The sequence below is a fragment of the Homo sapiens genome, chromosome 9 (genome assembly GCF_000001405.40).
Source record: "Homo sapiens chromosome 9, GRCh38.p14 Primary Assembly".
Taxonomy (NCBI): domain Eukaryota; kingdom Metazoa; phylum Chordata; class Mammalia; order Primates; family Hominidae; genus Homo; species Homo sapiens.
The window spans coordinates 37060838-37075529 of record NC_000009.12 but is presented as its reverse complement, the minus strand read 5'-3'; the positions used below and the strand labels follow the sequence as shown (position 1 = coordinate 37075529).

The following is a 14692-nucleotide window of genomic DNA, read 5'->3' as shown; positions in this document are numbered from 1 at the left end:
CCTTGCTAACCACTTCAGATATATTGTCTCTTGTCCAGCTTCAAGTGACTCTCTTAGGGAGGGATTAGCCTCACCTCACTAGTATGGAAATGGAGACTTGGAGTAATCAAGTGACTTGCTCTGAATTACACAGCTGGGAAGTGGTGAAGCTGGAATTCAACTCAAGTTATGTCTAGATCTAAAACTCATGCTCTTTTCTATGCTCAAAGCTGCATATCAAAACTGAACTTTAGCATGGAGTCTATGATGACTGGCTCATGTCTCTCCACCCAGCACCTAGCCCAAGGCCAAGCACAGAGAAGGCTCACAGTGGACACTTTTGGAATGAGTAGATTTTTTATGGAATGGTTGGTAAATGAAGGCCTGGGCACGGTGTGAACAGTGTTGTGGGACAGCAGAGGAGGGGGTAGTGGCTGATTAGGGGACGTGGAGAAGCCTCTGCAGAGGAACAGAAATGAGTGAGGCCTGGAGAAATAAGTAGTCAGACAAAGACGGACAATTCAGCATTCTCACAGCAAAGACCACTAACAGGCAATTCACAGAACAGGAAACCCAAAGGCCGTGAATAGGTGCTCTGCATCACTAACAGTCAGAAAAATGCAAATTATCTCATGCACAGTAGATGAGAATACAAACTGGAAAAGTGTGTTAGGAGAGCTATTTAATAGCATCTATCACAATTATAAATGAGGTATGTTCTTAAATGTGTGTACAAACATTGTGATAGAAAAAATGGAAATATTCATTAGTAGGGAACAAACTAAACAAGAACACATTTATACCATTTAAAAATATTATGCCACGTTTGGCTGGGCACAGTGGCTCACACCTGTAATCCTAACACTTTGGGAGGCTGAGGAGGGCAGATTGCCTGAGCCCAGGAGTTTGAGACAAGCCTGGGCAACATAGCCAGAGGCAGTCTCTAGGGGAAAAAAAAAAATATATATATATATATATGTGTATATATATATATATATATATATATATATGCACACACATATGTGGCATATGTATATATATGTATATATATGTATATATATGTGTGTGTATATATATATACACATATGTGGCATATATATACATATATATATGCCATTTTTAAAAGAATAAAGGGAATCTGCATGCACTGACATGGAAAGATTGCCAAAGACGTACACTTAAATGAAAAAAGGTAAATTGCAGAGCAGTAAGGATATAGTGTTCTCATTTTATTATGTTTTTAAAGGGTACAAGTGTGCCTGTGTATAGATATGTGTGTATATAAGTGCATAGACAAAATACTAGATGAATACCAATCGTTAACAGTGGTTATTTACCTCTTAGGAGGGGAGTAGGAATGGAGGAGATTGAAGAATGACTTTCACTTTAAAAAGTGAGATGTGATTCATTGAGAAAAACAGCACATTACTTCTATGGCATTCACATCAAAAGTGCGTAACTTGAATATAACCATGAGGTACACTCTAAAAATACTGGACTTATCTCTTCAAAACTGTCAGTGGCAGGAAATGCAAAGAAAGACCGAGGAACTGTACCGCATTAAAGGAACAATTGGCAACATCCAGATCTAGGTTAGAGGACAGTACTGCATTAACATTATTTCCCCAATTTTTATATTTACATTGTGGTTATGTAAGAGAATGTCTTGGTTTTATTTTTCAGGTCGAGCACACTGAACTACCTGGAGTAAAGGGGCATCATGTCTGAAACTGATGCTTAAGTGGCTCAGAAAAAAAATTCTGGGAGCTAGAGGGAGAGAGAGACAGAGGAGTGTGGTAAAAAGTTAACATTTTGGGGATCTGCGTAAAGGTATATGAGGATTCTTTGTACAGATTTTGCAATTTTTCTCCAAATGTGAAATTATGTCAAAATATAAAATTAAAAGACAAAATTAAAAGAATGAATGAGAGTTTGCTAGGTAGAGAAGCAGGGGGATCTTCTGGCAAAGGAACAGGATAAGCAAAAGCATCACAAGTGTGCGAGTCTTCTGTGTTGACAAACAAGCCCTGACTCTGAATATCCAGGACTAGCATGGTGTGGGGAGACGGGGATTAGACGTATGATGAGCAGCATAACCCACAAATGGACACATTTCCCTGCTACCTAAGATTGGAAGTAAAGACTTTAGGCCTACATTATACCCAGCCTCAAGAGTTGCAAGACATAACATGAGTTCTCATGGCGGCTCAGTCTTTGCATTGGCAGTGTCTCTTCATCCAGTGACTGTGTGGAACAATGGAAGCCCTAGAATCATGGCTGAAAGGGACATCTAGTCCAACTCTCTCATTTTGCAGAAGGGACAACTAAGATGCAAAATGAAGAGATTTGCAAGGCCCCAGCAAAGGTTAGTGTTAAAACTGGCCTGCAGGCCGGGTGTGGTGGCTCACACCTATAATCCCAGCACTTTGGGAGGCCTAGGAGGGTGGATCACCTGAGATCAGGAGTTTGAGACCAGCCTGCCCAACAAGGTGAAACCCTGTCTCTACTAAAAACACAAAAATTAGCCAGGTGTGGTGGCACACGCCTGTAATCCCAGCTACTGGGGAGGCTAAGGCAGGAGAATCGCTTGAACCCAGGAGGTGGAGGTTGCAGTGAGCCGAGATTGTGCCACTGCACTCCAGCCTGGGCAACAAGATCGAAACTCCGTCTCAAAAGAAAAAACTGGCCTACATTTCACAATCCATCACTCTTTCTATTTGCACCAACGTCTAAATGATAAGGGAGAAGAAATAGAAGGCTAGCAAGGGAAGTGACTGAATGTTAAAGTTTGGATGTTTTTTATTTGCACAAACTTAGTGTCTGTACAATTTTAAAAGTAAACAATATAGATACCAATGTTATTGTAGAAACTGTTGTCACTTAAGCCAATAGCTTCCAACTGGTAAGTGATATTCAATTCAGGCTCCTAGGTCTGAAGCAGCAATCAAGGTGATTCTCAGGAATTCTCAATGACATTGGTACCCATCTGGATTTGTTGAAAAGTTTAACATCCTTTTGTATTATTCATGATTTTGCAGTTCTTCAAATTGCAAAGTGATGGAGAGAGCACACAATTTTCAACCAGCCTATGAAATCGTTCTTGAAAATGTGGAAATTCATAGAGATGGCTTTTAATTTTTCTTGGAGACCGCCTTTCCTTATGAAATAATGAAATTTAAAAATATATATTATAAATTAAACTACATACATGATAATATTCTCATTACAATAAAATCCTAGGGATAAGGAACTAGTATTGCAAGGGCACCATTCCCGTTTTTTATTATTATTCCTAGTTGGAATTTTATTCCTCAAGGCTTAGCTCTAAGTGACTATATAATGAATACTGACTGGCAAAACTATTGGGATTCTAATTTAAGAATCATCAGATTCTGCACAAGAAATCTTGAAGCATGTCATCAGTAACATGTGGAGAAGCTGCCTAAAAAGGCATGCCTTTCTTTTAAATGTCCATGAGCCCTGGATCCACAGATTATGAGACATGAAGGATCACGCATGCTCAAACAGGGCTTATTTAGGTGTCATCTATAGAGGGGCTGCTCTCTTCAGCTGCCCGTCCCGGACCCGGGAATTATGTCTACAGTTTTCAGTTTCGACATGTCTTTGCGGCAATGCTACCATGAATTATTTTACTTGGGACTTTAGATTAACCACAAAAGAAACTAATTGAAAATAACTAAGATCATTCTGTCATGTGAGCCACAGTTGACTACAGTCAACTTAAGCACAATTATATATGATAAACTATAGACGTGATACTTTGTGTTTCAACCATTATTATCCATTGTTTCTTACTCAACTGGTGAAACCATTAGCAATATGGGGCTTTAAAAGGACTGTCTCTGTGATATCCTCTTCCTCTGCCTCCCTTCGGGATCTGATATTCTTCTATGGTTGACTGACGAGTCTGCATATGGGTGTTGTATTTCTTATATCACACCTATTAATTGCAGAAGTTTCTGTCTCCCTATCCCCAATACCTCAAACTTCCTGTTTCCTGTACAGTCTTCAACAACTCTATCTGCATGGCTCTAGCAATCCCTGTTCTTACTTGCTATGGACAGATCTGTTAAAATCCTGGAACTGCCACACAGTTTCTTCAGAATGTTTGATGTCTCCCTCCAGAGAATGGCTTTTTTCTCATTGTGCTATGCCGTTGCTCTCAGAACTTACCCCCTGGAACTTTCTCTTTTCTGTGCCTACGCTCAGCTGCGTGGAAATAGTGAGAGAGGTTTTATTATCATCTATGTTGGTTTCTTGGCACAGAGAGAATCTACCTATCTGAATATTAGCCAAAGAAAGCTCCAGACTGGTAAGAAAGCTCAGTTAGTGAACGGCCGGGCAGGGTGGCTCATACCTGTAATCCCAGCAATTTGGGAGGCCGAGGCAGGAGGATCCCTTGAGCCCAGGAGTTTGAGATCAGCCTGGGCAATATGGCAAATCCTCATCTCTACCAAAAAATACAAAACATTAGCTGGGCCTGCTCATGGGCACTTGTATTCCCATCTACTTGGGTGGCTGAGGCAGGAGAATCACCTGAGCCCAGGAAGTCCAGGCTGCAGTAAGCTATGATCATGCCACTGCACTCCAGCCTGGGCAACAGAGTGAGACCCTGTCTCAAAAATAAAAGAAAGAAGGAAAGAAAACCAGTGCAGGCCAGGCATGGTGGCTCACTTGTGGGAGGCTGAGCCAGGAGGATTGCTTAAGGCCAAGAGATTGAGACTAGCCTCATAAACATAGGGACCATGTCTCTACAAAAAAGTATTCAAACAAATAAATAAATAAATAAATAAATAAAACAAATGCAAAATTGTATCTTAGATAAATGCTATATATGAGAGGCTCTGTGAGAAACTACAATGGAGATATTGACTTATTCAGGAAGGTTAGAGAAGGCTTCTACAAAGTCGGGACATGATATCTGAAGGATAAGTAGGAATAAACTGAAAGAAGCATCAAGGGTAAAGTATTTCAGGCAGAGGAAACAGCAGGTGCAAAGGTCCTGGAGCAAATCAATAGAGACTGAAATGTCACTGGGGCTGGAGACGAGAGTAGAGGGGAGTAGGAGCACTGGAGGGCCTGGCGACATAAGGAGGGGCCAGACTGTGGGGCTTTGAATGCATGCGAGAAATTTTGATTTCTAGCCGAGGAGCGATGGGAAAACAGTGTTAGAACAACAACAAAAGAAATGTACACTCATACACTGTTGGTAGGAGGGTAAATTGATGAAGTCTTTTAGAAGAAGAATTTGGCTGTACTGAATCAAAATACGATTTTGATAAAATGTTAATCAAATGACACAATGACCTTTGACCCAGCAAATCCATTCTAGGAATCTTTCCTAAGTAGACACTACTACATAAGTATAGATAGATATAGATATAGATATATGTACACATGCACAAATATATTCATTGTGGCAATAGTAAAAAAAAAATCAGAAACAAATTAAATGTCCATCAATCAGGAATAGATTAAATAACATGTGGCACAACCATAATGGAAAACTTACATGTTTCTCAATTTATTTGAGACCATTTTTGCTTCAGCTATTTTGAAGTTGTTATTAAAAACATACACTTACATGGATGAATCATTTTTCGTTAAGAAAAGTCCTTCTTTATCTTTGTAATACTGTCTTCTTGACATCTACTTTATCTGATATTAGTATAGTCTCTGCAGCCTTTGTAACTATTTGCATAGTACATTGTTTTTGATCCTTTTACTTTCAACTTGTCTTTACATAAAGTGCATGTCACATAGACAGAATATAGTTCTGCATTTCTTTCTTTCTTTCTTTCTTTCTTTCTTTCTTTCTTTTTTTTTTTTTTTGAGACAGAGTCTCCCTCTGTCGCCTGCCCAGGCTGGAGTGCAGTGGTGCAATCTCGGCTCACTGGAACCTCCAGCTCCCAGGTTCTAGTGATTCTCCTGCCTCAGCCTCCTGTGTAACTGGTACTGCAGGCACCTGCCACCACACCCAGCTAATTTTTGTATTTTTAGTAGAGACGGGGTTTTGCCATGTTGGCCAGGCTGGTCTCGAACTCCTGACCTCAGGTGATCTGCCTGCCTCTGCCTCCCAGAGTGCTGGGATTACAGGTGTTAGCCACTGCACGCAGCTTTTTTTTTTTTTTTTTTTTTTTGAGATGGAGTCTCACTCTGTCGCCAGGCTGGAGTGCAGTGGCGCAGTCTTGGCTCACTGCAACCTCTGCCTCCCGGGTTCAAGCAATTCTCCTATCTCAGCCTCCCAAGTGGCTGGGAGTACAGACATGTGCCACCACACCCAGCTAATTTTTGTATTTTCAGTAGAGTTGGGGTTTCACCATTTTGGCCAGGATGGTCTCGATCTCTTGGCCTTGTGATCTGCCCGCCTCAGCCTCCCAAAGTGCTGCGCTTACAGGCGTGAGCCACCGCGCCCAGCTATTTTTTTTTTTTTTTAAAGAGACAGGGTCTTGTCCATTGCCTAGACTGGAGTGCAGTTGCAAAATCATAACTCACTGTAACCTTTAACTCCTGGGCTCAAGCAGTCCTCTTACCTCAGCGTCCCGAGTAGCTGGGACTACAGGCATACCCCACCACCCCCAGCTAATTTTTAAATTTTCTGTAGAGACTAGGTCTTGCTAGGTTGCCCACACTAGTCTTAAACTTCTGGCGTCAAGTGATCCCCCACTTCCTTAGCCTCCCTAAGCGCTGGGATTACAGGCAGGAACCACGGAGCCCTGCCCCATTAATCATTTAAAAGTGTACAGTTCAGCAGCATTTAGTGCATTCACTATGTTGCATTAAGTTGGCGCAAAGTAGTTGCCATTAAAAGTAATTAAAAGTTTTGACAAAAACCGCAGTTACTTTTGCACCAACCTAATACAACCACCACCACCTCTCTCTGGTTTCAAAACTTTTTCATCACCCCCAGAAGAATATTCTATAGGCTTTAAGTAATAACTCCCCATCTCCCCTTCCTCATTCTCTGACAACCAGGAGTCTGCTTTCTGTCTCAAGGGATTTGCCTATTCAAGGTACGTCGTGTATAAGGAATCATACAATATGTAACTTTTTGTGTCTGGCTCCTTTTACGTAACACAAAAATGTTTGAGGTTCATCCAAGTTGTAGCGTGTATCAGTGCTTCATTCTTTTTCTGGGGGCGGGGTGGCAGGGGACAGGTCTGACTCTGTCGCCCAGGCCGGAGTGCAGTGGCATGACCTCAGCTCACTGCAACCTCCGTTTAATTCCTGGTTTAAGTGATTCTCCTGCCTCAGCCTCCCCAGTAGCTGGGATCACAAGCAGGCGCCACCATGCCTGGCTAAGTTTTGTATTTTTAATAGAGATGGGGTGTCACCATGTTGGCCAGGCTGGTCTTGAACTCCTGGCCTCAGGTGATCCACCTGCCTTGGCATCCCAAAGTGCTGGGATTACAGGCAAGAGCCACCATGCCTGGCCTCACTACCCATTTGCAAATTGTTTGTATTTTTGTTTCAAATTGTAAGCATTCTTTATATATTCTGGACACTAAACCCTTATGAGATAAGGTTTGTAAATATTCCCTCCCATTCTGTAGGTTGCCTTTTCACTTTATTGATAATATCCTTTAATTTGCAAAAGTTTTAATTTTTGTGAAATCTAATTGATCTATTTTTTCTTTTGTTGCTTGTGCTTTGGGGTCTTTTAAGAATCCATTGCCAAATCCAAACTCATAAAGATTTACCCCTATGTTTTCTTCTAATGTAGTTTTATACTTTCAGCTCTGGTATTTAGGTCATTGATCCATTTCAAGTTACTCTTTGTATATGAAGTGAGGTAGGGATCCAACTTCATTCTTTGGCATGTAGTTTTCCAGTTCTCCCAGCACTATTTTGAAGAGACTGTTTATTCCCCCATTGAATGTTCTTGGCACGCTTGTTGAAAATCAGGTGACCATAGGTGTTTGGGTTCATTTCTGGACTCTCAACTTTATTCTGTTGGTCTATATGTCCATCCTTATGATGGTATCACACTGCTTTGATTACTGTAGTTTTGTAGTAAACCCTGTCTCTACTAAAATGCAAAAAATTAGCCAGGAGCAGCAATGTGCACCTGTAGTTCCAGCTACTCAGGAGGCTGAGGCAGGAGAATTGCTTGAACCCGGGAGGCAGAGGTTGCAGTGAGCTAAGATCACGCCACTGCACTCCAGCCTGGGTGACAGAGCAAGACTCCATCTCTTAAAAAAAGAAAGAAAGAAAGAAATCAGAAAGTGGGAGTTCTCCAACTTTGTTTCTCTTTTTCAACATTGTTTTGGCTATTTGGGGCCCCACGCAATTTCCTATAAATTTCAGGATCAATCTTTCCGTTTTTGCAAAAATGGCCATTGGAGTTTTGATAGGGATTCCATTGAATCCGTAGATCATTTTAGGAGTATTGCCATAAGTTTTCTGATATATAACAATGGAATTTCATTACATTAAATTAGGTCTTTTTAAATTTTATTCAGAAGTTTTATAACTTTCAGTGTACAAGTCTTTCTTCCTTGGTTAAATTTATTCCTAAGAATTGTATTTTATTCTTCTGGAATTTTTTTTTTTAGGATCGTTTTTTGATAATGTATATAAACACCACTGGTTTTTGTGAGCTCATCTTGTACCCTGCAACTTTGCTAAATTCACTTACTAGGTCTCATAGATCTTTTGTGTATTCCTTGGGATTTTCTATATGTAGAATCCTGTCTTCTACAACTATAAATATTTCTTCCTTTCCAGTTTGGATGACTATTGTGATTTCAAATGATGAAAGTGTTTTACTTTTTCTTCCCAAACTGCTAGGATTCCCAGTACCATATTGAGTAGCAGTGATGAAAGCAGGCATCCTTATATTGTTTCTGCTGTTAGGTGGAAAGCTTTCAGTCTATCACCAGTAAGTATGAAGAGCTTCCTTGTCTTTCAGTCTTTGGTTGGGGTTGGACAATAGGCAGCATGAGCTAAATTTAGGAGGACAGGAGGGGAATGAAGTCACACCGTTAGTGTGCTGGCTCCCTCTCTGCTGCGTCTGCATGAGTTGATTGTGTTCCTCTACAAAAGACCACAGTTCCTGTCAGGTCCCCTTCTTCATACAGCCACTCCCTCCCTTCCTTGCCCTTTTAGGTGTAACTAACAGGTGAATGCTCCCTGCAATGGCTAGCCCTAGGGTACCATACCTTGTTGTCTTCCCTAGCACTGCCCACCCCTCTGTAAACGGTCCCTTCATGAAACCTTCCTCAGTTCCTCATTTAGAATGTACACCTGTTTCCTGCAGAGACTCTAATTCAAAGACTTAACACTGAGTAAATGGACACATCTTTCTGGACTGCCATCAGCCTGCAGTGGTCCAGCAACACTCCAAAGTGAGTGAGGTTTTAACAACCACCTTATAATCTTTTCTGGCTTTGGATCATATAGAAGTCTGTGACTGGCTATGGGGTAGGAGGAGTTTAGTGGGAACAAGGAAGAGAACTTGCTGCTTTTTATGTCAGCTATGTGTACCTGAGAGATGCAACTTGCATAAACCGTAAAACTTCGTATCCCAATCAGAGTTGCTGAATCGAAGATTTGGAACTGCAACTTCTTCAAATGGGAAGACAAATATTTCCTCCACCTTTGCTTCTGATTCTGCTCATCATCCATTGTTAGTATCCCAGATTAGAATCTGATTAGGACACGCTGGCTGCTTGAACTTTGGGGCTTATTGCTACCAAATATTCGAGCCCAGTCCAACTTTTGTTTCCTAACTGCCTCTACCCCAAGGCCTGATGAAACCCACTTCTTTTGGCCCAAGGAAACTCACATGCTGGCAACATTTATGTACTGTATTCATTTCCTAGGGCTTCCCATAACAAATTATGAAAAAAATGGGGTGACTTTTTTTAACTTGTTTTAACAGCAAGAATTTCTTTTCTCACAGTTTTGGAGGCTAGAAGTCTGAGATCAAGACATTGGCAGGTCCATGCTCTCTGATGGCTTTAAGGAAGAGCCCTCCCTGCCTCTTCCTGGCTTCTGTAGGTTCTTGGCAATCCTTGGTTTGTAGATGCATCACTCCAACCTCTGCCTCTGTCATCACATGGCTACATCTTCTCCCTGCATGTCTCCTTCTTCCTCCTATAAGGCCATTAGTCATACTGAATTAAGAACCCATCATATCTTAACTGATATCTCCAATGACGCTGGTTTCCAAATAAGGTCACTTTTTTTTTTTTTTTTTTTTTTGGAGACAGAGTCTCGCTCTGTCACCCAGGCTGGAGTGCAGTGGTGCAATCTCAGCTCACTGTAACTTCCACCTCCTGGGTTCAAGCGATTCATGTGCCTCAGCCTCCAGAGCAGCTAAAGATAATTTTTTGTGTTTTTAGTAGAGACAGTTTCACCATGTTGCCCAGTCTGGTCTCCAACTCCTGAGCTCAGGCAATCTGCCTACCTGGGCCTCCCAACGTGCCAGAATTACAGGTATGAGCCACCACGCCCAGCCAAATAAGGTCACATTCTGAGATATTAGGGTTTAGGACTTCACCATATCATTTGGGGTGACACAATTCAACCCATAGCAGTATATATTTATCATTTGCAAGGACTTACTTCTCCCTCTCTGACTCATTCCAGTATTAGAAGAGAAAATTGTACTTATAAAGGAAACTTTACAACATTTTATTGAAGCAAAGCAACAGGTGAGCAGAAAAATCAAGAGCCCTCAACTAAAAGTCAAAGGACAGGATTATTGTGCCAGGTATGACATAATTTTCCTGTGTGAACTTTCAAGCCACTTTCTCTCTGTGCCCTTCAGTTTCCTCATCCGTAAAATGAGGAAACAGACTTCATAATTGCCAAGGCAGGTCCCGTTAAGCTCCCCAATTCTAAGATTCTTCGACGTATGCATCCATCGCTAATAGATCTTCTGCAAAGGATACTGTGGGCTTGTTTAAACTGTTTCCTCAGATTGCTTATGCTCAAGGTCTCTCTCGGTCCATTTCCAATTACTCTCCTGTTATCTGTGCGATAGTTTGGCTTATTTGAAAACATCTAGAGAATTCAGTAACCTTGATTCCAAGTGTGAAATATAAAGGCTGCATTTAAAGCTCCATAATTGGACCCAGACATTTCTCCTAATGCTATTAAATCTTCTCATCTAACCTTGATTCAAGGAATATTGTGCAGTTTCCTCTTATGGAGACTCAGAAGCATGCACTGAGGTCAGAGGGGAAAGGAGGAGAATGGGAAGATTTAGGGTCATGACGTATAATTTTACTTATCATTCCATCTGTGAAATTGGCTTACATACTTCCTCCCTGACTTATTTGTACCACTGACTCCTCCAGGGCAGGTGCTCCGTCTTATTCATCTCTGAGTGCACACAAGGACATGCATTTGCCCCCAAAATAGCACATGGCCCAGCCAGTATTGGAGGGAAAAGGGAGGGAGGAAGGCAGAGAGGCCATTCATAAGAGAAGTCCCATCACTGCTCTATTTTCACCCCCACCCTCCTCCTCTGATCCCCTAGACTCAGGTCCTCAGATCCAGGGACTGATTCTCCTTTTTTTTTTTTTTTTTTTTTTCCTTTTTTCTTTTGAGAAAGAGTGATTCTCCTTTTTAAAAAATTGTGGTAAAATAGGCTGGGCATGGTGGCTCATGACTGTAATCCCAGCACTTTGGGAGGTCGAGGCGGGCAGATCACTTGAGGTCACGAGTTTGAGACCAGCCTGACCAACATGTCTAAACCCCATCTCTACTGAAAATATAAAAATTAGCCAGGTGTGGTGGTGCGTGCCTGTAGTCCCAGCTACTTGGGAGGCTGAGGCAGGAGAATTGCTCGAACCTGGGAGGTGGAGGTTGCAATGAGCCGAGATCATGCCACTGCACTCCAGCCTGGGTGACAGAGGGAGACTCCATCTCAAAAAAAAAAAAAAAAAAATTATCCTGGTGTTGGGGCATGTTCCTATAGTCTCAGCTACTTGCGGGGCTGAGGTGGGAGAATTGATTGAGCCTGGAAGGTTGAGGCTGCAGTGTGCTATGATCGCCCTACAGCACTCCAGCCTGGGTGACAGAGTCAGAGACCCTGTCTCAAAAAAAAAAAAAATTATACCAATTTAATAATTTTTAACAGTATAGTTGAGTGGCATTAAATACATTGACATCGTTATACAACCATCACTACCATCCATCTGCAGAGCTTTTTCGTCTTCCCAAACTGAAACTCTGTACCCAGAAAGCAATAATTCCCCATTCCCCTCTTTCCTTGGTCCCTGGCAACCACCATTCTACTTTCCAGCTCTAAGAATTTGACAGTTCTGGGTATGTTATATAAGTGGAATCACACAATATTTGTCCTTTTTATTTTTTTTGAGACAGGGTCTGGCTCTGCCACCCAGGCTGGAGTACAGTGGCATGATCTCAGCTCACTGCAACCTCCACCTCCCAGGCTCAAGTGATCCTCCCACTTCACACTCCCAAGTAGTTGGGAATACAGGCACGTGCCATCAGCATTACAGGCGTGCACTACTGGGCCCGACCGTATTTGTCCTTTTGTGTCTGACTTATTTCATTTAGCATAATGTCTTCAAGGTTTATCCAGGGCTAGGTGAGGTGGCTCATGCCTGTAATCCCAACACTTTGGGGGGCTAACGCAGGAGGATCACTTGGGGCAGAGTTTGAGTCCAGCCTGGGCAATGTCCGAGACTTCGTCTCTACAAAAACTATACAAATTAGCCAGACATGGTGATGTGTGCCTGTTGTCCCAGCTACTTGGGAGGCTGAGGTGGGAGGATCACTTGCGCCTAGGAAGTCGAGGCTGCATTGAGCTGTGTTTATACCACTTGCATTTTAGCCTGGAATGCAAGTGGTACCAACTTGCAAGGTCCTGTCTGAAAAAATAAAAAAGGTTCATCCAGGTTGCAGTATGTGTCAGAATTAGAAACTGATTCTTCCTGAGAGCTACAGAACCTTCAAATTCCCTTCCAATGCTAAGTTCCTCTTTCTCAGCAGGAAGATATGCCTTCTTTGATTAAGCAAGAGTGAGAACAGGACTGATCCAGCCTCCCGGTCTTCACCACACCGTCTTTGTATCCAGGCCCTTGAGACCTCAACTTTAGAGCTTCCTTGGCCCTCATTCGTTTGGTCATTTAACAGATACTTACTTGAGCTCCTGCTCTGTAGGTATCTTCTCCAGTCCTATATGGAGTGTTTATAATCCGACAGAAAAAAAAAGATATATAAATAAATGCAGCCAGACACGGTGGCTCATGCCTGTAATCCCAACACTTTGGGAGGCCAAGGCAGGAGGATTGCTTGAGGCCAGGAGTTCAAGACCAGCCTGGGCAACAAGGCAAGACCTCATCTCTACTAACAAAAAAAGAAAAAGAAATGTGAAGTAAGGTACTCACAGCTTCTAAGAGAGAAGTATTATGGAGCTCATGGCAACACAAGAGTAGGAGTTCATATGTAACTAAGAGAATGAGAAAAGTTTGTACAAGTGATTCTCTGAATCTTGACGTAAGAGTGAGTGTTCTCTGTGCAGAAACCAGGATCAGGCTGAAGCTCACCAGCCATCAGGCTCTGCCAGAGCCATGGCATAGAGGCATGACTCAGCTTTGTGTGTTTGTGAAACTGCAAGTGAGCTGGCCTGACTGGAGCACAGCATGTTGGAGAATGGAGGAAGAGAGGAAAACACCGTGAAAGAATAGACTTACTGGGAAGCTATAGAGGAAGGTTTGGGTCTGGTCAAAAAGTCCAGGTATGGTAGGTAAGGAATTGGATTTTATCCTCAGGACAATCAAGACCCATGGAAGGTTTTAAGAAGAGTAATGTGGTCAATTACATGTTTTTTACACCCTTTCTAATGGCTAGCGTAGGGAAGGTGAGACTGGAGGTGAAGCCAGTTAGGAGACTATTGCCTGAGACCAGGCGAGGGGTAACACAGTTACGGTGGGATAGAGGCAGCATTGTGCCTGAGCTAACTCAGACTGGCTCATGACAACTGATTGTCAAATCTTAAGGAATTTTGCAAGCTGGTTGTTAAGCCCAGTCATTCTTATAAATTAAATTATATAAACTTACAATTCAATAAATTATATTTTTCAGCCTGGGTGCAGTGGCTCATGCCTGTAATCCCAGCAGTTTGGGAGGCTGAGGCAAGTGGATCATTTGAGGTCAGGAGTTTGAGACCAGCCTGGCCAACATGGTGAAACCCCATCTCTACTAAAAATACAAAAATTAGCTGGGCGGTAGTGGCGCCTGCCTGTAATCTCAGCTACTCGGGAGGCTGAGGCAGGAGAATCACTTGTACCCGGGAGGCAGAGGTGGTGGTGAGCCGAGATCACACCACTGCACTCCAGTCTGGGCGACAGAGTGAGACCCTGTCACAAAAAAAAAAAAAAAAAGTTATATTTTTCAAATGGTAATAAATATTCAAAATTCACTTCCTAATTCTAGTTTTTTTGTTTTGTTTTGTTTTTGGAACACAGTCTTGCTCTGTTGCCAAGGCTACAGTGCAGTGGCACAATCATAGCTCTCTGTAAACTCAAACTCCTGGGCTCAAGTGAACCTCTCGGCTCAGCTTCCTGAGAAAGTGGAACTATAGATGTTCGCCACCATGCCTGCTACTTTACTATTTAACATTTTATAGAGATGGGTCTTCCTATGTTGCCCACACTGGTCTCAAATGCCTGGGCTCAAGCGATCCTCCTGCCTCAGCCTCCCAAAGTGCTAG

The 14692-nt window shown here is 42.3% G+C and overlaps 1 annotated feature.

Annotated features, from left to right (window-relative positions):
• Window positions 12902-13102: a silencer, noted in NCBI's record as "peak7233 fragment used in MPRA reporter construct". NCBI's record gives its function as "represses an SCP1 promoter by STARR-seq MPRAs in K562 erythroleukemia cells {active_cell/tissue: K562}" and the evidence as "EXISTENCE:reporter gene assay evidence [ECO:0000049][PMID:32103011]".